At 39.4% G+C, this 23,187-nt stretch overlaps 1 protein-coding gene across 40 annotated transcripts in view; it reads right to left on the reverse strand.

Annotated features, from left to right (window-relative positions):
- DLG1 (discs large MAGUK scaffold protein 1) overlaps window positions 2,338-23,187 on the reverse strand; it is a 256,762-nt gene continuing 235,912 nt past the window's right edge. For all 40 annotated transcript variants that reach the window (NR_158764.1, NR_158765.1, NR_158767.1 and 37 more), the window contains 3 exons: window positions 19,667-19,776; window positions 11,355-11,446; window positions 2,338-4,507 (listed from right to left, as the gene is read on the reverse strand). Coding sequence is in view for 36 of the 40 variants with exons in the window: in NM_001366203.1 (NP_001353132.1) it covers window positions 4,401-4,507; window positions 11,355-11,446; window positions 19,667-19,776 (309 nt within the window). In the remaining 4 variants the exon portion in view is untranslated. The remainder of the gene's footprint in view (window positions 4,508-11,354; window positions 11,447-19,666; window positions 19,777-23,187) is intronic.

Genomic DNA, 23,187 nt, shown 5'->3' on the forward strand with positions numbered 1-23,187 from the left:
TACGATTGTGTGTGTGTGGGTTTTTTTTTTTTTTTTTGGGGACAGAGTCTCGCTCTGTCGTCCAGGCTGGAGTGCAGTGGTGGGATCTCAGCTCACTGCAAGCTCCGTCTCCCAGGTTCACGCCGTTCTCCTGCCTCAGCCTCCCGAGTAGCTGGGACTACAGGCGCGTGCCAACATGCCCGGCTAATTTTTTATATTTTTAGTAGAAACGGGGTTTCACTGTGTTAGCCAGGATGGTCTCGATCTCCTGACCTCATGATCCGCCCGCCTCAGCCTCCCAAAGTGCTGGGATTAGAGGCGTGAGCCACCGCGCCCGGCCGATTGTGTTTTGTATACAGCACTTCAGCCCTTACAACAATCCTGCAAGGTAGTCATTCAAATCCCATTTAAAACATTTGCAAAATTAAGGGTCAGGTTAATCTCCACAAGAGAAGCTGGAAGAATTCTAAGCCTCTGATTCCAAAGGAGAAGGGAATTAGCTTTTAGAGTGTTCTATGTGCTAGTTCCCTTTATCTGGAATCTTACTGATCCTCAATATGTCTCCATTTTACAGATAAGTAAACAGTTAAGAGGGATTATGTGACTTGCCTAAAGTTACGTAAGTGGCAGAGTGGCATTCAAATCAAGCTGATTCCACAGCCCACATTCTTCACATCAGAGGGCACTGCTGCCAAAGTCAGTGAGAGGTATACTGTGCAATTCTGGAGGGAGATAAATGGAATCTTAAACGTTAGACTTAACTACCAAATGCTCTACACTACGGTCGGGAAAGTGACACCCATGTTTTTCCCTGGTATCTTTCAAAATGCAACTTCTTCATTGTAATATAATAAATAAATGTACCAATATTTATAACAGCAGAAATTCAAACCTTCAGGGATTGAATAAACCACAAAATCCAGCTCTTAGAATGGGAGGAAAAGGAATTTGTATGGTAGGAAAACTATTTTCTAGGAGTCAGGAGTTAAAAGTTCTAATCCTGGCTCTGTCCAATTTGCAGTGTAACTTTGTAAAGCCATAGGGGTCTTTAGGCTTCTATTTTATCGCATGTAAATTAAGAGTATTCAAGGCAGAGAATCTTAGAAGATAACTGCTCTAATATCTTAGAAAACAAATTTTACTAATTACTAAAATTCCTGAATTGCCATCTTTGGAGTTTAAATACTATATAGTGTTTAGCAAGTATTTGTTAACCAGAGCGTATTTTGCTGGAATGAGCTCTGCAGGCTTGCTTCCATTATTATTATTATTATTATTATTTTTATTTTTTTGAGATGGAGTTTTGCTTGTTGCCCAGGCTGGAGTGCAATGGCGTGATCTCGGCTCACTGCAATCTCTGCCTCCTGGGTTCAAGCAATTCTCCTGCCTTAGCCTCCCGAGTAGCTGGGATTACAGGCATGCGCCACCACACCTGGCTAATTTTATATTTTTAGTAGAGACAGGGTTTCTCCATGTTCGTCAGGTTGGTCTCGAACTCCCAACCTCAGGTGATACGTATGCCTTGACCTCCCAAAGTGCTGGGAATACAGGCATGAGCCACCGCACCTGGCTTGCTTGCTTCCATTATTTATTGAAGAGTCCTAGGTAGTCACAGAACAGGAAAGCAACCAGATAGCTACAGCCAAATTTAAGAGGCATTTTTCTTTTTGCCAACTTAAAAAGGTATGAAGAGGCATATTAAAAAATATAGACTTTACAAAACGTGAAACAGTATTATTCTCTGGGTATTACAATAATGGACTCTTTTTTTTATAAATATTGTTTCAATTCCGGTTCTAAAAGGTTGTCATGTCACTGGCAGGGCTAGGCTATTCTGGTTCTGAAAGGTTCTTCCTTGGCACGTCACTGTGGCAGGGCTAGGCTGACTTGTTTCCCACAAATAGTCTTTTCAGCTGTGATGGGAGTCGCTTGTTTTGTGGGTCTGTCCTTACTAATTGTATGACTTTGGGCAAGGATTTTCATTTAAGAGTCTTTCCTTATTTGTAAAGCATTGCTAGAATAATAATTTAAGTTACAGTTCTTTACACAGTAGGGGGTGAAAAATGAGGCAGCCAAGTGTATTGGAAAGAATGTAGATTGGGGCAGAGAGGCTCGGATCCAAACACTAAGCACTGCCTCTTATTAGCTAAGTCATCTTGGGCAAGTGATTTAATGTAAACCTTACAGTGGGGCTAGTAACACCACCTTCTCTCTCTCTCTTTTTTTTTTAATTAAGAAGTACGATACTAAAGTGGCTATTGCATAATACTCAGCAATTAGTAATCTCATTATTGATAATCCTATACAATCTAGAAAGCTGCACGTATATTCTTACAAAAAAATCACTTAACAAGGACATCCAGAAAACAATGTTATGTAAATTTTAATATATAAATGGCATCCTTTTATAACCACTTGATATTTTACAACATGTGACTATTTGGTAAATACTTCAAAATAGCTTATGCTGCGGTCTTGTAAGGCAGTTTCTGAAGCTCTTGAGATTTTACAACAGTTTTCTTCATACTAGTGTGTTTCTATGTGGTTAACAACCTACGACATTTAGTCTAACAGCAGCACTGTGTATTTCAATGTGGTAACACACTCTGCTGCCTAACGGCTCTTGGATTCGGTTATAAGTTACATGATGCCTCAAATTGTTTCAAGAAAATGTTAGCTTGCAAAATATATTTTTTCTTTCAAAATTCAAGACACACTTAACATATGGATTTTACAATACAGTTTATTAGCTGTTCTCCTCTTCTTCATAAATGGAATGGATAATGTTGATAATTCTTTACAAACCAGTACTCATTTAAGAAACTAATGAGGAGGTTGTCAAAAACACATATTTAATAAACAACTCCAAAGAGCAATGGGAAGCCAAATATTATTATTAATATGAAGGACCAGAGAAACTGATTTGTGAAATAATTTCTACCTTTCACTAACATTTCTTAAAATTGCTCACCATGAAGATTTGTGCAATTCTAGTGCAGAGCAGTGGATGAAAGCTGTCTGAGGGGAAAACACACACATAAATGGGGCTTTTGCCTGCCTTCCTATTAATAAAAGGAGAACTAGAAGGAAAGGGCAAGGACCAAAATCAAACCTGATGACAAGAACAACAGTAACAACACGGACAACAACAAAAAACCTCAGGAACCATTTGAAAACCTTTGTAGAAAAGAGGAGAATATGCCCACACTTTTACTTATAATCTAATTTCCCTAAATGTTTCCTCCTCATGACCACCATGCCCCCATTTTCAGTTCACATGATTAAGGAAGATAAGTCTATTCAATTAATATTTAATTTAAAAACCAAACAAAAAGTTAGGAGTAGGTGGCAAAAGAAACAAAATATATTTTAAATATATATATATGTTTGTGTGTGTGCGCAACTATGTAAAGAAAATAATTCCCATAGTTACAGTTTAAAGAAAGTTTTATATATATATTTATATATATTTTATTATAACAAAATAGGCAGCTATTGTGGGTAAAATATTCAGTAAAATCTGACTCCTAAGAATACATTTGAAGTTTTAGGCTATGAATTGGACTCCTTTCCATTGCCATGATGGTTACTACGTCACCACTGTAACGTCTGATTTATCTGTATTTATATCTAGGAAATTTTCTCAATCTTCTGTGTAAAAGGCGAACTTCCTTAGCACCTGAACATGGCCTCAATTCACGAAATGTGATGATCATTTACATATGAACAACTTTTGTAAGACACGATAGTGTTGCTCAAGTAGATTAAAAACATTGAAACGTTGTTATTCCTAGCAAATGTCCTGGGAAAAAAGAACCGTCAAATACTAAAAGGCTTTAAGAATGTTGAGGAAAAAATGAAATCCCTTATGAAAGTCAACTCAGACATGAATTTTTAAATTAAAAAATGTCCTTATTTATCTATAATGAAACAATTGCTTTGATGATAGAAGTTGATTGAGAAAAGGACTTGAGAGTAATACACTGGCCAAACCATGCTATTAAACTGAAGCGTGCACAGTTGCTCAAAGTCTACTAAATCACTGATTAAAACCACTTTTTCATTTGTACTGAAATTTGAAAAGAATGTATATAAAGCTTTTCCAAAAATCTCTTAAAGTTACTTTCCCTTAAACATTAAGGAATTTTACCACAATTTCTGCGTCTCCCCACGTTCTTAATAGCTGGTCAGGCCATTCCATCTTCAGTTCTGAAAAATGGCCACTAACCAATAGTGACATTAAATAATACACACGATGTAACTTGAAGGAGACACTACATGTGAAAAAGAAGCTGCAGACCATGATGTGTGGGATACAATTCAACATGAAATCAGTACTCAAGAAAGACTCCAGAGGAAAGGGCAAAGAGATGCCAAAGAAAATGGAATTGTGGAAAAGAGAAACAGAGAAACATGAGTTTTCATAGCTTTTCTTTTGCCGGAACCCAGATGTAAGAACCAGATTGTTCTTCTATGATCTGTTTCACTTGGTTGTAAATGTCTTCCAGCGTATCCCCCTGTACAATAGCTGTAATGATAGAAACAAAATCAGAAATCTCCATTAATTGTCTATTTTTGCCATTACAATTATTGATGAAATAGTAGAAGCTAGTATCTTTGAAAAAGTTACTCATCCAGGAAGAATCACCATTTACACACTGTTCACTTAGGAAAAAAGGCTCACTTCATTAATTTTCCTATTTATATAGTATAAAATTTTTATCTTAAAAATGGATCAAAAAGTAAGACTTGGAGATCTTTTCTTTTGTTCTTTTACCATCTGAGCATATATTAGCTTTATTATTTTAAAACAAATTATTTTCTTAACTTTCCTGATTTCTCCATAAACATATGTAGAAAAAAGGAAACTGGGTACAATCCCATAGACAGGATGATGTAAGGATAATTTTTTTTTTTTTTGGGGTAGGATCTTGGGGGAAAAGAGCTGATTACAGATTGATACTACTTTTTTCAGTTAAGCTAGCATGTCAGGTACTGTAGTGTAGGTGAATTGAGAGATACCTAAGCTAGCTTGTTAGTGGTTAGAGACTTAACAATCAATGTTTATTTGCTGTCTGAAATAATGTGTGAAAAAAAGAGTAACAATTACTAACAACTAATTCTTTGGGAATAGCTGAAGCCCCTGAGGTCTGTGAGGGATTAGTTAATAAAGCAAACAAACAAACAAAAACAAAGTATCGCTAGACAGCACTAAGCATGAGTAACTAACTTTTTAAGAAAGAAAGAAAATGTTTATGGTTGGGCATGGTGGCTCATGCCTGCAATCCTAGCACTTTGGGAGGCTGAAGTGGGAGGGTTGCTTGAGGCTAGGAGTTTGAGATCAGCCTGGGGAACATAGTGAGACCCTGTGTATTTAAAAAAAAAAAAAAATAGCTGGGCATGGTGGTGTGTGTCTGTAATCCTGGCTACTTGGGAGGCTGAGACAGGAGGATGATCTCTTGAGCCCAGGAGTTCACAACTGCAGTGAGCTATGATCGTACCATTGGATTGTACCATTTGCCTGGGTGACAGAGTGGAACCTTGTGTCTCGTAAAAAAGTTTACATATAAATGAAATAATTGAGAATTGCAAATTAAATAAGTCACTTACTAAACTACAAAAAAATGCCCAGTGATCTTGGAAGAGCATCATAGGTGTAGATTTCCATGGTCTGAAAAACTGAGCATAAAATGTCAAAGGGGGATTTTAAATAATACTGTCTATTTGGTACCTGAGATGATGTGCATAGAAGAAAGACGTTGTATGTAGGTAGGAAGCACTTATACATAGCTAGGAACGCCTGAATAACCAAGAATTTTCAGTAACATGATATTCGCTAGTATCAGTTTTGTGAGACTTCTACCTTTTGAGCTAAATGCAGACATGCCTCAATGTCCCTGAAGACTCAGTTCATTTGACAAAATACTTGGTTCGTGGGTTTGGCATCTTGATGCACCCCAACAGCACAGGACAGAATCCCAGAGCATTTCATAGTTTAGGTTGACAACAGCACGCAAGGATTTATTTTAGAGCATTTCATAGTTTAGGTTGACAACAGCACGCAAGGATTTATTTTAGGAGAAAACAGTCAGGAACTGACTTGGGAAATATACATTTTGCTTACTTTGTAAATTCATTAATGGAATGGTTAGTAAACCAGGGAAACTGGGAAAGCATAAGGCTGCAGACACCTTAACCATGTGATTAAAATTAGCATCATAAGTAACGGCACAAGTAGACTTTGTAAACCTCCTTGCATGATACACAGAGGACACATCATTACTTCATTGCTATTCCTGCCCCAAATGCAGAACCTAAATCGAATTATGAGAAAACATCAGATAAATCCAAATTGAGGGAGGGACATTTTATAAAAGAATGGGTCTTTGGCCGGGTGCAGTGGCTCACGCCTGTAGTCCCACCACTTTGGGAGGTCAAGGTGAAGGTGGGCGGATTGGATGAGTTTGAGACCAGCCTGGGCAACATGGCGAAATCCTGTCTCTACAAAAAATACAAAAATTAGCTGGGCATGTTGGCTGTAGCCTGTAGTCCCAGCTCCTTGGGAGGCTGAGGTGGGAGGATCACTTGAGCCTGGGAGGTGGAGGTTCCAGTGAACTGAGATCGCACCATTGCACTCCAGCCTGGGTGACAGAGTGAGACCCTGGCTCAAAAAAAAACAAAAGACAAAAAACAAAACGAAACAAAAAACAAAACGAAACAAAAAACAACAAAAAATCCCCCCTAGTGTTTTTACTCTTAAAAAATGTCAGTCAGGGTCATGAATAACAAGACTTGGGAACGATTTCAGATTAAAGAACATTAAGGATGTGATAATCCAATACAGCACGTGAGCCTCCGCTGGATCCTGCACCAGAACAGAAAAACCATTTTTTTCCATTTTGCTCTAAAGAGATTAGAAGAATAGTGAAATACTAATAAGATCTATAGTTAGATGAGACATATAATTATTAAATTTCCTGATTTTGATAATAAAACTATGATTCTATAAGGGAATATCCCTGTTTTTTAGAAAATACACACTGAAATATTTAGAAGTAAAGGGACATCTACCTGAAACTTACTCTCAAGTGTATCAGAAAAAAACCTATAAATGTGGTAAAATGTTAACACTTGAGGAATTTGGGTGAAGGGTACATGAAACTCCCTGTACTATTCTTGTAACTTCTATTTAAGTCTGAAATTAGTTTGAAAAAAATAAGAAAGCACAAGGTTTAAAAACCATGACCCTTACTGATACTCAGTGTGAATGTCAAATTTAGGCTGATATTATTTCAAACAAACAAGTAACAACAACAAAAATGTCCAAAGACTTGAGGAGGAAGTTAAAGGACAAGGCGAGTAAAATAAGAATATTGGGGAGTTGCTACCTACTTTTTTTTTTTTTAAACAAATAGTATTTCAAAACGGATCAAAGGGCAACTAATCATTAAAAAGGGGCCAAGACTACACAATAGGGAAAGGCTAGTGTCTTAAATAAATGGTGCTGGAAAATCTGGATATCCACATGCAAGAGAACGAAACTAAACCCTTATCTTATACAAAATTAACTTGAAATAGACTAAAGACTTAAATGTAAAACCAGAACCATAAAACTCCTAGAAGAAAACACAGGGAAAAAAGCGCCTTCACACTGGTCTTGGATGATTTTTTGGAAAGCACAGGCAGCAAAATAAAAAATCATCAAGTGGGATATTAAATAAAAAATCTACACAGCAAAGGAACAATCAACAAAATGAAAAGGCAACCTATGGAAGAGGAGAAAATATTTCCAAACATGCAATTGGTAAGGGGTTAATATCCAAAATATATAAGAAAATCATTAGCAAAATACCAAATAATCCATTTAAAAAATGGGCAAAGGACTGGAATCGACATTTTTCCAAAGAAGACATACAGATGGCCAGCAGGTATCAGTAAAAGTGCTCAACCTCATTAATCAGAGCAACAGAAACCAAAACCATAATGAGGCTGGGTGCAGTGGCTCACGCCTGCCATCCTAACACTTTGGGAGGCTGAGACGGGCAGATCACTTGAGGCCAGGAGTTTGAGACCAGTCTGACCAACATGGCAAAACCCTGTCTCTACTAAAAATACAAAAATTAGCCGGGTGTGGTGGCATGTGCCTGTAATCCCAGCTATTCAGGAGGCTGAGGCATGAGAATCGCTTGAACCCAGGAGGCAGAGGTTGCAGTGAGCTGAGATCATGCCACTGTACTCCAGCCTGGGTGACAGAGCAAGACTCTGTCACAAACACACACGCAAACCATAATGAAATATCACCTTAGACCTGTGTGGATGGCTGTTATCAAAAAGATAAGAGATAACAAGTAGGCAATGGTATGAAGAAAAGGGAACCCTGTACACTGTTGGTGGGAATGTAAATGAGTAAAGCCATCACAGAAAATAGTGTGGACATTCCTCAAGAAATTATTATTACTATTATTATTTTTGAGACAGAGTTTCACTCTTGTTGCCCAGGCTGGAGTGCAATTGTGCGATCTTGGCTCACTGCAACCTCCGCTTCCCAGGTTCAAGCAATTCTCCTGCCTCAACCTTCCAAGTAGTTGGGATTACAGGCATGCACCACCACGCCCGGCTAATTTTGTATTTTTAGTAGAGAAAAGGGGTTTCGCCATGTTGGTCAGGCTGGTCTCGGACTCCTGACCTCAGGGGACCTGCCCACCTGGGCCTCCAAAAATGCTGGGATTACAGGCATGAACCACTGTGCCCAGCCACCTCAAAAAATTAAAAACTGAGTTATTATATGATCTAGCAATCCCACTACTCGATATATATACAAAGGAAAGGAAATTGGGCCAGGCGTGGTGGCTCACACCTGTAATTCCAGCACTCTGGGAGGCTGAAGCAGGCGGATCACTTGAGGTCAGGAGTTTGAGACCAGCACGGCCAACCCTGTAACCCTGTCTCTACTAAAAATACAAAAATTAGCTGGGTGTGGTGGCATGTGCCTCTAGTCCCTGCTACTTGGGAGGCTAAGGCAGGAGAATCAACAGAACCCAGGAGGCGATGGTTGCAGCAAGCTGAGATCACACCCGCATTCCAGCCTGGACAACAGAGTGAGACTCTGTCTCAAAACAAAACAATAAAAAACAAAAAGCCAACAACAACAAAAAGAAAACCAAAGGAAAATAAATCAGTATGTTGAAATCTGCACTCCTATGTTCACTGCAACATAATCAACAATAGCCCAGATATGAAAATCACCTAAGAGTCTGTCAAAAGATGAATGAGCCGGGCCCGATGGCTCACGCCTGTAGTCCCGGCACTTTGGGAGGCCAAGGCGGGCGGATCACCTGAGGTCAAGAGTTCGACTAGCCTGACCAACATGGGGAAACCCCATCTCTACTAAAAATACAAAATTAGCTGGGCATGGTGGCACATGCCTGTAATCCCAGCTACTCAGGAGGCTGAGGCAGGAGAATCGCTTGAACCCGGGAGGTTGTGGTGAGCTGAGATCATGCCATTGCACTCCAGCCTGGGCAGCAAGAGCAAAACTCCATCTCCAAAAACAAAAAAGATGAATGAATAAAGAGAATATTGTAGGCCAGGTGCAGTGCACCTATAATCCAAGCACTCTGGGAGGCCGAGGAAGAACGATTGCTTGAGCCTAGGAGTTTGAGACCAGCCTAGGCAACATAGCGAGACCCTGTCTCTACAAAAATAAAAAATTAGCCAGGTGTGGTGTTGCACGCCTGTAGTCCCAGCTACTAAGGAAGCTGAAGAGAGAGAATTGCTTGAGCCCAGGAGGTTGAGGCTGCAGTGAGCCATGATCATGACACTGTACTCCAGCCTGGGCAAGAACAAAACCCTGCCTCAAAAACAAACAAACAAAACCAAAAACAGGCCGGGCACGGTGGCTCACGCCTGTAATCCCAGCAATTTGGGAGGCCGAGTCGGGTGGATCACGAGGTCAGGAGATCAAGACCGTCCTGGCTAACATGGTGAAACCCCATCTCTACTAAAAATACAAAAAATTAGCTGGGCGTGGTGGCAGCTGCCTGTAGTCCCAGCTACTCGGGAGGCTGAGGCAGGAGAATGGCGTGAACACGGAAGGCGGAGGTTGCAGTGAGCCGAGATTGCGCCACTGCACTCCAGCCTGGGCGACAGAGCCAGACTCCATTTCAAAAAAAAACAACAACAAAAAAAACCCCCAAAAAAACCCAACAACAAACAACAACAAATATATATATATATGTATGTATGTATGCATGCATATGGTATATATACAACAATGGAATATTTTATTAGGCCATAAAAATGAAAATCCTATCATCTGCAACAACCAACATGAGTGAATGTGGAGGACCTTATGCTATATGAAATAAGCCAGACACAGAAAAGCAAATACTGTATTTCATTTATACGTGGAATCTAAAAAAGTAGAACTCATAGAAACAGAGAGGTGGTTTCCAGGGACTGCAGAGTAGAAGAGATGGGGAGATGTTAGTGAAAGGGCACAAACTTTCAGTTTTAACATGAGTAAATTCTGGGGATCTAATATACAGCAGTAGTGACTATTGTTAATAAAGAGTAGATCTTAAGAGTCTTCCCTACACACACAAAATGGTAACTGTGTGGTTAAAGACATGTTAATTTGATTGTGTTAATCAACTTACAATGTACACATTTATCAAATCACATTATATGCCTTGAATATATACGAATTTTGTCAATTATACCTCAACATGGCTAGAGAAAATGGATCAAAATTTATAAAGGATAAGAGAAAAATCAGAGTTTCATAGAAGAAATGAAATCTAAATCTATTTTTCTCTGGTCAAGTATGAATTATTCCTGTTTTTGTTGTTCTAATCAATAACCTAAGAAACATTAAATTTCAAGATTCCTGGCTGGGCAGGGTGGCTCACCGCTGTAATCCTAGCATTTTGACAGGCTGAGGCAGGTGGATCACCTGAGGTCAGGAGTTCGAGACCAGCCTGACCAACACGGCGAAACCCCATCTCTACTAAAAATACAAAATTAGCTGGGCGTGGTGGCAGGTGCCTGTAATCCCAGCCACTCGGGAGGCTGAGGCAGGAGAATCGCTTGAGCCAGGGAGGCCCCAGCTACTCGGGAGGCTGAGGCAGGAGAATCGCTTGAGCCAGGGAGGCGGAGGTTGCGGTGAGCCGAGTCATACCATTGCACTCCGCTTGGGTGACAGAGCGAAACTCCGTCTCAAAAAAAAGGTTCCCCAGCACCACTGCCTAGGCTGGATGATACTAGTTACTACGGGTAGATGTAGGCATAGTTCAAAATCCACCTGAACGGGTCGGTTCACATGGCTTCAAAGCAAAATTCTATCTTAAAGAGGACTGTTACAACACGGTTCCAACCTGTGAAATGTTCAGTAAACTCCTGTTCCAGTTTCATGGCTCTCTCAAATGTTTTTCTGGCTTGTTCTTCTGTTAGACGCTTATTCATTTCCCTACGAAAATAAATGTAGAAATTGATAATTACCAAATTATAATACTTTTAAAAAAAAGATGGCAAAGGAGAGATGACACATAAAATAGAAAATCATGAAAAGTTGAACTCTGCTGAAAATATGAATGTCATTAAAAACTTGAGTCATTCTGGTCATTTCTGGGAATTTTTTTTTTTTTTTTTTTTTTTTTTGAGACAGTGTCTGACACTGTCACCCAGGCTGGAGTGCAGTGGCACGATCTCAGCTCACTGCAACCTCCGCCTCCTGGGTTCAAGTGATTCTCCTGCCCCCATCTCTCAAGTAGCTGGATTACAGGCATGCGCCACCACGCCTGGCTAATTTTTATATTTTTAGTAGAGATGGGGTTTCACCAAGTTGGGCAGGCTGGTCCCGAACTCCTGACCCCAGGTAATCTGCTCGCCTTGGCCTCCCAAAGTGCTGGGATTACAGATGTGAGCCACCGAGCCCAGCCTGTTTCTGGGATTTTTAAAAATAAAAATAATAGGCTGGACATGGTGGCTAATACCTGTAATCCCAGCATTTTGGGAGGCCAAGGCAGGTGGATCACTTGAGGTAAGGAGTTCAGGGCCAGCCTGGCCAACAAGACGAAACCCCGACTCTACTAAAAATATAAAAATTAGCTGGGTGTGGTGGCGCATGCCTGTAATCCTAGCTACCTGGGAGGCTAAGGCAGGAGAATCGCTTGAACCCAGGAGGCAGAGGTTGCAGTGAGCCGAGATCGTGCCACTGCACTCCAGTCTGGGTGACAGAGCGAGACTCTGTCTCCACAACAACAAAATAAATAAATAAATAAACAAAAATAAAAAAATAAAAACTAGATTTAGTCACTGAATATGTTGCTGTATACTTGGAATGACAGAGGGTTTTAACAAATTCTGCATCAGCTCAGTGTAGCCAAAAAACCTATTCATTAATTTATGATACTTTTGACTTTGATGAAAATTTCATATTAAAGTGACTTAGAGATCTACCTATCAGTTTACAGAAAATAAGGGGACAAACAACCATATAAATAACACCATGAGAAGGTAATCAGAAAATACAGTCTGGGGAAACATCTGCAGAAGAAATGACCTGGTTTCTATCACAAATAAATGGGAGGTGTGGCGGGGTGGGGGCATAAAAGAGAGATGTGGAGAGAGAATCTATAGGTTAAACAACTTAACCAACTGCCATGAATAGATCTTACTAAAAATTTTATTCCAACAAACTGAAGAAACACAAACAAAACTTATGAAATAACCAGCAACATTTGAACTTTATCAAATAATTATTATTTTAAGTATGATAATCAGTGACTTTTTGTAAGAAATTATCTTTCAAATACACAGTGATGTACACAGACAAAATGATAGGAATGTCTGAGACTTGTTTCAAAATAATCTGGAATGAAGGTGTAAGGAGGTGGGTGTGAGTGGAGAGAAACAAGATTGGTCATAAGTGGATAATTATTGCTGCAGCTGGATGATGAGTATAGAGTTCGTTCCCAACTTAAAGGAAAGCCTTCAATATTTTGCCATTAATTATGACGTTTGCTTTGATATTTTGTAGAGTTACTGTCTAGTACTCTTTCATCCCACCCTACAAAATTCTCTGCAGCATTTCTCGTAAGGGAGGACTACAGGTAATAAACTCTTTCAGTTTTAATTTATCTGGGCATGTGTTAATTTCTCCCTCATTTTTGAAGAATAGATTTGCCAGATATAGGATTCTTTGTTGACAGTTAAATTTTTTTTTTTTCCTTCAGTGTTTTGAACCCACTGTTTTCTGGCCTCCAGAGTTTCTGATAAAATATCTGCTGGCAGGGCATGGTGGCTCAAGCCTGTAATCCCAGCACTTTGGGAGGCCGAGGCAGGCGGATCACCTGAGGTCAGGACTTCGGGACCAGCCTGGCCAACATGGTGAAATCCCGTCTCCACTAAGAATACAAAAATTAGCAGGGCACAGTGGTGAGTCCCTGTAATCCCAGCTACTAGGGAGGCTGAGGCAAGAGAATCACTTGAACCCGGGAGGCAGAGAGGTTGCAGTGAGCTGAGAATGAGCCACTGCACTCCAGCCTGGGAGACAGAGTAGACCCTGTCTCATAAAAAAAAAAAAAAAAAAAATCTGCTGATTGCTGGGCAAGGTGGGTATTTATTTACACCTGGAATCCCAGCACTTTGGAAGGCTGAGGTGGGTGGATCACTTGAGCTCAGAGTTCGAGACCAGCCTGGGAAACATGGCAAAATCCTGTCTCTCTAAAAAATACAAAAATTAGCCAGGCGTGGCGGTGCATGTCTGTAGCCCTAGCTGCTTGGGAGGCCGAGGTGAGAGGCTGCTTGAGCCCAGGAAGTTAAGACAGCAGTAACCTGGGTAAGCAGCGAGCCACTGCACTCCAGCCTGGGTGACAAAGCGAGACCTTGTCTCAAAAAACAAACAAACAAAAACAGTGACTGATAATCTTATTGGGAAATCCCTTGTGTGTGGTAAGTTGCTGCTTTCAAGATTCTCTCTGTATTCTGACACTTTGATTATAATGTGCCGCAGTGTGGGTATCTAAGTTTATCCTGCTTTGAGTTCATTGACTTTCTTGGATTATATTCACGTCTTTCATCACATTTGGGATGTTTTTGGCCATTATTTCTTCAAACAATCTCTCTGCCTTCTCTCTATTCTCCTTCAAGGACCTCCACAATGTGTACGTTGACTGCTTGATGGTGTCTTATAGGTCCCTTAGGCTCTGTTCACTTTTCTTCAGTCATTTCTCTGTTTCGCAGACTAAATAATTTCCATTGTTGTATCTTTAAGTTAAAACTTGTTGATTCTTTCTTCTGTCTGCTCAAATCTCCCTGAATCCCTGTAGTGAATTTTCCATTTCAGTTATTTTTACCTCCAGAATTTCCTTTTGGTTTATTTTTAGGTTTTTTATTTCTTTGTTGATATTTCCATTTTGTTCATGTATCTTTTTCATCTTTTTTTTCCTTTATCTTTTTGGAGACAAGGTCTCCCTCTGTTGCTCAGGCTGGAGTGCAGTGGTGTGATCTCGGCTCACTGCAGCCTTGACCTCCCAGGCTCAAGAGATCCTCCCACCTCAGCTTTGCATGTAGCTGGGACCACAGGCTCGTGCCACCATGGCCAGCTAATTTTTGTTTATTTTTTTTTTTGAGACGGAGTTTTGCTCTTGTTGCCTAGGCTGGGGTGCAATGGTATGGTCTCTACTCACTGCAACCTCCGCCTCCTGGGTTCAAGCGATTCTCGTGCCTCAGCCTCCCAAGTAGCTGGGATTACAGATGCCCGCCACCACGCCCAGCTAATTTTGTATTTTTAGTAGAGATGGGGTTTTGCTATGTTGCCCAGGCTGGTCTCGAACTACCGAACTCAGGTGTTCTGCCTGCCTCGGCCTCCCAAAGTGCTGGGGTTACAGGCGTGAGCCACTGCGTCTGGCCAATTTTTGCTTACCTTTTATAGAGGCAAGGTCTCACTATGTTGCCCAGGCTAGTCTTGAACCACGGAGTTCAAGTGATCCTCTCGTCTCAGCCTTCTAAGTGCCAGGATTATAGGCATGAGCCACTGCGCTGGGCCTATCACTTTCTTGAGACTTTGTCCATGTCTTTTAGCTCATTTAGTATCTTGTTTTACAGTCTTTATTAAGTCTAACTCTTTCTCAAGTATAGTCTTTCTCAGGGATAGTTTGTTTATTTTTCCTTTGAATGGGCTATATTTTCCTGTTTCTTCGTATGTCTTGTGATTTTTTTGTGGGAAACTACACATTTAAATCTTACAATGTAAGTAACTCTGGAGAACGAATTCTCTTCCTTTCCCAGGGTTTGCTGTTTTATTTAAAATTTAATTTTATTGTTTACTGTTGCAAGGTGTTTCTGTACCAGGAATCAGCCTGAGGTGTAAACTTAGGGTCTTTTCAGGTATTTTCTAAGCCTGTGATTTTCCATGGATATGAAAACCTCCCCTCATATACTTTTGAATGTCCTGGTCTGGCCCCCAAAAGGGGAGGGGGAAAAAAGGTGTGTGTGTGTGTCTGTGGTGTGGGGGGAAGAGGGAAGCACTAGCCCTTTGTTTTTACTTAATATTTTTTCTTTCTCCTCACTAATCACCACTGAAGGCAATGGCCCTTTAAATCTTTAAGTCACTTCAGCCTCAAGTGGAGGGGCTTGTAACAGTGGCAGTGGGGTTTGCAACAATGGCTCACTGTATGGCTGCACCTCCATGATCAGAAGCAGTAATTAGCTATCAGAGCAAAGATTCCTGCTATTTGGAGGACAGAATCCTTATTGTCCACACTGGCTCCCACAAACCCTATGCAAAGCTGCTTGAAAATGTGTACATGGCTACATGCTATGGGACTGAGGGTAGACGAACAGGTAGTTGCTACCATGTTAAGAGCTGAAATTAACCTTTCAAACCTTCCCCTGGAAGTCATAAGCCTTCAATAGACTTCAGAGTTCCCAACCTGATAAAAATGGTGAACAGAGATCCGAAATAGTAACATCAGACAGATTCTGCCAGTGCAGTTGTCGTCTGGGTGGGGAGACAGATTCCCAGAGCTTCCTACTCTGCCATCTTCCCTCTAGCTCCATAACTGATTAGTTTTTAAATGCTGCAGCAGTGTTGCATACCAGGAATATACCCAACTTGGTTGTTACATTTTGCCTTATTAAAAAAATTGTTTGATTCAATTTGCTCCTATTTTGGTAAGGGTTCTTGCAATCTATAGTCATAATTAAGACTGACTTTATCATTTTCCTTTCCTATATAGTCCCTTCCAGGTTTGGGTATCAAATTAATGCTCATAAATTAGTTGAAAAGTTTGTATAAAATTGACATAGCTTCTTAGCTTTTGGTAGAATTTAGTAAGTCTGCTTGGCTTAGTATTTAATTTGTGGAAAGGCTTTTTATGACGGGTTCAAGTCTTTAATAAGTACTAGATTATTTAGGTTTTCTATTTTTCTTTTCCTTTTCTATTTTTTCCTTAACATTTTCTGAAGTATATGTTTCAAACACAGATGAGCAATATTAGAAAAATCGTATCATACAGCTTGTTACATTTTCACAAACTTACATGTACCTGTATACTTAGGTCAAGACACAGAGCATGACTAGGACCCCAGAATCTGGGTGTGCTCACTCTAGTCACCAACCCATTCTTACAGGGTAACCTCTATTTGACTTCTATGAGCAATTATTAAATTTGGAGTCACAGAGTATGTATATCTTTAGGTCTGGGTTTTTGTTTTTAACTCAAATTGTACTTGTGAGATTCTTCTATACTTCTGTATGTGGCTGGAGATTGCTCACATTATCACAGAATGTTTCATTGTGAACATGTCATAATTTATTTACATATTCTACTCCTGATAGTATTTGGGTAGTTTCTAGTTTTTAGTTACTGACTCTTTGTTTTTTTTTAGAGACACGGCCTCACTCTGTCACCAAGGCTGGAGTGCAGTGGTGCAAGCATAGCTCACTACAGCTTGGACAGAACTCCTGGGCTCAAGGGATCCTCCTGCTTCGGCCTCCTAAGTAGCTGGGATTACAGGAATGCACCACCACATCCAGCTACCTTTTAAAGTTTTCTGTAGAGACAGGATTGTGCCATGTTGCTCAGGCTGGTCTCCCAACTCCTGACCTCAAGCAATCCTTCTGTCTTGGGCTCCCAAAGTGTCAGGACTACAGGTGTGAGCCGCCGCACCTGACAGTCGTTGACTATTTGAACAGTACTGTCATCACGCTTGTACCTGTCTTTGTAAACACAGGTAAGCGTTTCTGTGGAGTGTGCGTCTAAGAATATGACTTCTGGGTCATAACTCGTGCATGTTCAGCTTTAGGAGACACTATGATACTATCAACAGTTTACCAATGAAGATGCACCAATCTGCACCCCTAACACTGTTACGAGTTTCAGTTGTTCCACATCTTTGCCAGCATTAAATATTTTGTCTTTTTCATTTTTTTAACCTGTATTTCCATGATTAGTTGGGCACTATCTCACAGGCTTATTCTTTGGAGATTCTCTTTTGTGATGTGTCCAAGCCCTTTGTCCCTTTTCCTGTCAGGCTGCCTCTGTTGATCTCTTTGGTGTCTGCTGCATGTGTAGTCATATCCTCTTTGTCTTGCCTGATATTCACATTGATATGCCTTCTTTCTTTTCTTGATCACTCCTAATGGTTTATTGTATTTTATTTTCAAAGAGAACACTTTTGGCTTTGTTGATCCTCTTTATCATATGTTTGTTTTTTCTATTTCATTAATTTCTGCTCTGCCATATTTTTTATTTTTAAATTTTTAAATATTGTTTTCTTTTTTTTTTCCTTGGGACAGGGTCTCGCTCTGTCACCAGGCTGGAGTGCAGTGGCAAGATCTTGGCTCACTGCAACCTCTGCTCCCTGTGCTCAAGCAATCCCCCCATCTCAGCATCCCAAGTAGCTGAGACCACAGGCGCACACCACCATGCCTGGCTATTTCTTTGTATTTTTAGTAGAGACAGAGTCTCACCATGTTGCCCAGGCTGGTCTTGAACTCCTGAACTCAAACAATCCGCCCACCTAGGCCTCCTGAAGTGTTGGGATTATAGGGGCCGGCCGTTGTGCCCCGCCTTCTTTTTCAGTTTCTCAAAATCTTAGATTTTCAACTTTCCTAATATTTGATTTTCAACATTCTTTCCTAACATTTAAAGCTGTGTGTATTCCTTCAAAGCTGTGTGTATTCCTTCAACAAAGCTATGAAAGCCTCCAAACTCTACTTGGCAATTCACTACTATTTAGTTCAAAACATCAATTTATTCTGTGATTTCTTCTTTGACTCACTCAGAAGCATAATGCTTAATTTCCAAATACATGAGGATTTTCTAGTTATCTTTTAATTATTGGTTTCCATTTAAATTGCATTATGGTCGGAGAGTATTTGTTTTCTATCCTTTGAAATTTGTAATCTAGCAAATGATCAGTTTTAGTAACTGTTTCATGTACACTGGAAATCCATGTGTCTCTTGCAGATGATGAGTGCAGTGTTTAACAGATGTCAAATAGGTAAAGTTTTAAATTTGTGTTATTCCATACCTTCACTGATTTTTATATTTGTTTTCTTATTTAATTGCTTCTGTCCCTCTCGATGATGTTGGAATTACTTTTCGCCCCTATGCAGCTGTCAATTTTTATTTTTTGTTTTGAGAATGCTATGAAGTGCAAACAAATGTACGAACAGATCTTCCTGTTGGAGTGAATATTTTACTTTTATGAAATGTCACTCTTTTTAGTTTTTTGAGATGGATCTCGCTCTGCCGCCCAGGCTGGAGTGCAGTGGCGAGATCTCGGCTCACTGCAAGCTCCGCCTCCTGGGTTCACGCCATTCTCCTGCCTCAGCATCCCGAGTAGCTGGGACTACAGGTGCCCGCGACCACGCCCGGCTAATTTTCTGTATTTTTAGTAGAGACGGGGTTTCACCGTGTTGGCCAGGATGGTCTCGATCTCCTGACCTCGTGATCTGCCCGCCTCAGCCTCCCAAAGTGGTGGGATTACAGACGTGAGCCACTGTGCCCAGCCATGAAATGTCACTCTGAAGCTAAGTAATACTTCTTGCCTTAAAGTATATTCGTCAGCCATATAAAAATCAGCCTAGTTTAGCATGGTATATCTTTTCCTATTCTCTTACTTTCAACCTTCCCATAGCCTAATTTTTAAGGTGTGTCTGATGAAAGCCACATATAATTTACTTTTTTCTTCACCCCTTGTCTTTTAATTGGAACATTTAGTCTAGTAGTCTATTATTTGCTTTAGTTTATACCATCTCACTATTTATATGGTTCTGCCTCACATTCTGTGTTTCTATTTGTTCTTTCTTAATTTTTACTTAGATTCTATTTTTTTGTCCCCTGAAAGTATTAGGTAATGGTTATACATTCTTTTATTCTCTTAATGGTTACCTGAGAGCTGTGCTGCGTACTTCAGTAGCCACTAGTCACACGTGGGGCTATTTAAAGTTCTAACACATGTTACCTTATACTTTAGTAATATTAATGATGATGATTACAATGACAATTTATAACCCATAGTGCTTATTTAATCCTCACCACATAATCTGAGGTGAATAAACATACTACTATTATCTCAATTTTATAGATAAACTGAGATGCAGGGAGAGTAAATAAATTACCCTACAGTGACTGAATTTGTACACAGAGGCTATGCCTTAGGCATTTACACTTACATGATATTTTCCATGGATTTGGGTTTAATAAAAATGGAGATAGGGTAAAGCTGTGCAATCTGTAATCTCTTTATGGCATTTCCAGACACATCAAGGATACAGTGTTTGCCCTAAAATAAAGGGAACAAAGAAAAAAAACAAGTGAGCCAAATATTCTCAATAATATCAAAGGTACTTTTCCTACAGGTCCACAGTCTAAATCATGATCTGTTTCGATCCTTGTTCACTTTTAGTAAACTTGTCATTTCTCTCAGCAAACTTTAGATAGGAAATGAAATGGCTGAATATGCATAATTAATTTGCCATTTTCAAACAAATGTTATATTTAAAAAGGAATGAAAATACAGTTCCTAGTTTTCACGGATCAGTTATTTCTCAAAATGGTGAAAAATAGAGCTCCCCCGCCGTTCCCTTTTTTTAAAATTTAAGGGACGGGGTCTTGTTCTGTTGACCAGGCTGGTCTTGAACTCCTGGGGCTCAAGTGATCCTCCCACCTTAGCCTCCCGAAGTGCTGGGATGATAGGCATGAGCCACTGTGCCAGGCCCAGGTTCCTATTTTTCATTCTGCCAAGAAAAGTTATTCATTAAGACTCCAAACTACCATCTCCCCATAGCTATCATTTCATAAAAGATAAAAAACCCTAGAGTAAGGGCAAACCTTTTAAATAAACAAATTTGTGAAACCTCATTGCCACTACTCAATCCTTCTATTTCTCATTTTATTAGGGACTGACAAAAACTCATAAACTAGCATATGGGACCCCAGTTCTGGATTTAAATGACAACTTTTCTGACAAGCTTAAACTCACTGACAAAGGATACTTAGGTTTTTAATACAGATGAGCATTTCCATGTTAAGCATAGTATTTATTATTTATGACAGATTTTCTTCTAATACATTTGAAATCAGGCCCTCCCCGATAATGCAACTTCAGTTTTTTGTTTGTTTGTTTTTGAGACGAAGACTTGCTCTGTCACCCAGACTTGAGTGCAGTGGCATGATCTCGGCTTACTGCAACTTCCGCCTGCTTCAGCCTCCCCAGTAGCTAGGACAACAGGTGTGCGCCACCACACCCAGCTGATTTTTGTGTTTTTTGTACAGATGGGGTTTCACCATGTTGGTGAGGCTGGTCTCAAATTCCTGACCTCAAGTGATCCACCCACCTTGGCCTCCCAAAGTGCTGGGATTATAGGCGTGAGCCACCATGCTCAGCCCCATAATGCAACTTCTAACCCAAGGACTTGAGTCCAAGTCAATACATGATAATTTCAATTTGGTGGGCACATTTAAAATAAAAAATTTAATACTGTAAAATACTCCAAACATATAGAAAAGTAAATAATAGACACCATGTACCCATTATCTACTTTCATCAGACATAAATATTTTACATGATCGCTTAAACATTTTAATAACTTGATACTGAAATATTAATATTCTAGGTTTGCTTTAACTCTTTCTATATATGTACATAATAGTTTGAGAATAAACTGCATAATGCTCCTTCACCTCGTATTTCTTAAAAACAATGGCATCTCTTACATAATCACAATATGATTCCAAGTGGCCATCTAATGTTCCTTATTGGAAAAGAGTAAAAAAATGTCCTGGTCAAGGATCGAATTCAGGATCATAGGATCACACATTGTATTTAGTTGTAAAGTCTCCTTAGTCTCCGTCAATCTGACACAGTTCCTCAGTCTTTTGTCTTTCTTGATGTTTTTGAAGAGTATAAAATATTTATATCATAGAATATGCCTCATTCTATGGGTTTATGGGTTTGTGTGTTTACTCACTCTCGGATGGCAGGTTACACATTTTTGGCAGGAATACTACAGACATAATGTGTGTCCTTCTTAGTCCATCATATCTGGGAGGCGATATTATATCTATTTGTCCCATTATTAGTGATCCTAATTTTGATCACTTGTTTAAGGTTTTATCTGCTAGGTTTCTCCACTGTAAAATTATCATTTTTACCTTTGTAACTGATAAGTATTTTGGGGGAGGACACTTTGAGACTATATAAATATCCCTTTTTTCATCAAATGTTCACTAATTTTAGAATACACTGATGGTTTCTGCCGGAAACAATTACCACCATGCGGTTTTCAAAAGATTTTCTAATTTAATCATTTCTTCTACCTTGATTAGTAGACAGTCCAAAGCGTTCCCTTCTATCCACTTACTTACTCACATACAGATGCTCCTTATGATGGGAGTTACGTCCCAATAAACCCATCACAAGTTGAAAATACTGTAAATTGAAAATGCATTTAATATACCTACCCTACTGAACATCATACCTTAGCCCAGATTACCTTAAATGTGCTCAGAACACTTACTCTACAGTCGGACAAAATCATCCAACATGCCTGTTTTATAATTAAGTGTTGAATTTTTCATGTAATTCATTGAATACTGTTCTACAAGTGAAAAACAGAATAGCTGTATGGGTACTTGAAGTATGGCTGCGACTGAATATGCATCACTTTTGCGCCTCTGAAAAGTTGAACCATTCTAAGTTGAGGGCCATCTGTGTTTGTTTATATCATTATGGACTCTACGATTTTTATTTTACTCTATGTATTATAATATGTTATTATCATTTATCTTGATATTCAAATTATCTCAGACTTGGCCAGTGGGGGACCCTACAGCTTGGTTCCTTTGCCTTTTTACACATCTTCATCATTCTTTGAGTGCTTCCTTATTTTTCTGGCAGCAAAATGTTACAGGCTTATCTCACACTTTTCCAGTCCTGGCCCCAGAATCAGCCATTTCTCTAAGGAGTCCTGGATCTTTTAATTAACGAATTATATTTAGAAGCCCAGATCCGGGCCCCAGATATTCTCATGGCTTATTCAGTGTTATTTTTAGGTCTTCTTAGTGGATAAAGCAAATAAACATACGTGTGTGTATACATAAATACACATCTATTTCTATATCTACTCTTAACAATCCATGGGTTCATATTCATCGCTCTAATTATCTAATATCTCCAATCCAATTATCACAGAGTTCATTTTACCCTCTCCCTTTTTCTGACAGTCAAACCTCACTCCCACTACTGCCATTGTATTAGTTTATTTGCTCAACCCTAGAATATATATTAGTTTCAGAACTGTAAGCCCATACACTCCACCCAACAAACCTACTAATTAGAGTTTTATTTTGTTTACAGATCTGTCTTCAGCTTGTGTTAAAGAATCTCTGGGATTAAGACTTCTCCCCTCTTCAATGTAGTTAAGTTATTCATTTGAAATACAGGCAGGTTTATTGTACCCTAAAACTTAAAGTATAAAAAAAAAAAAAGAAATACAGTCAGGTTTATTTAGTTTCTACTTATGTATCATTTTGCTTTTCCCCCATCTTTCTTTGTTGCTTTTATTTTTGATTTTTTTAAATATGTAAAATACTAACATACTTTCTAAAAGTTAAAATAATACAAAAATGTATACTCAGAGAAATGTCATACCCCTCATCCTTTCCATCCCATTCCAAATTCCCTCTCTACATC

Source organism: Homo sapiens, chromosome 3 (genome assembly GCF_000001405.40).
Source record: "Homo sapiens chromosome 3, GRCh38.p14 Primary Assembly".
Classification (NCBI taxonomy): domain Eukaryota; kingdom Metazoa; phylum Chordata; class Mammalia; order Primates; family Hominidae; genus Homo; species Homo sapiens.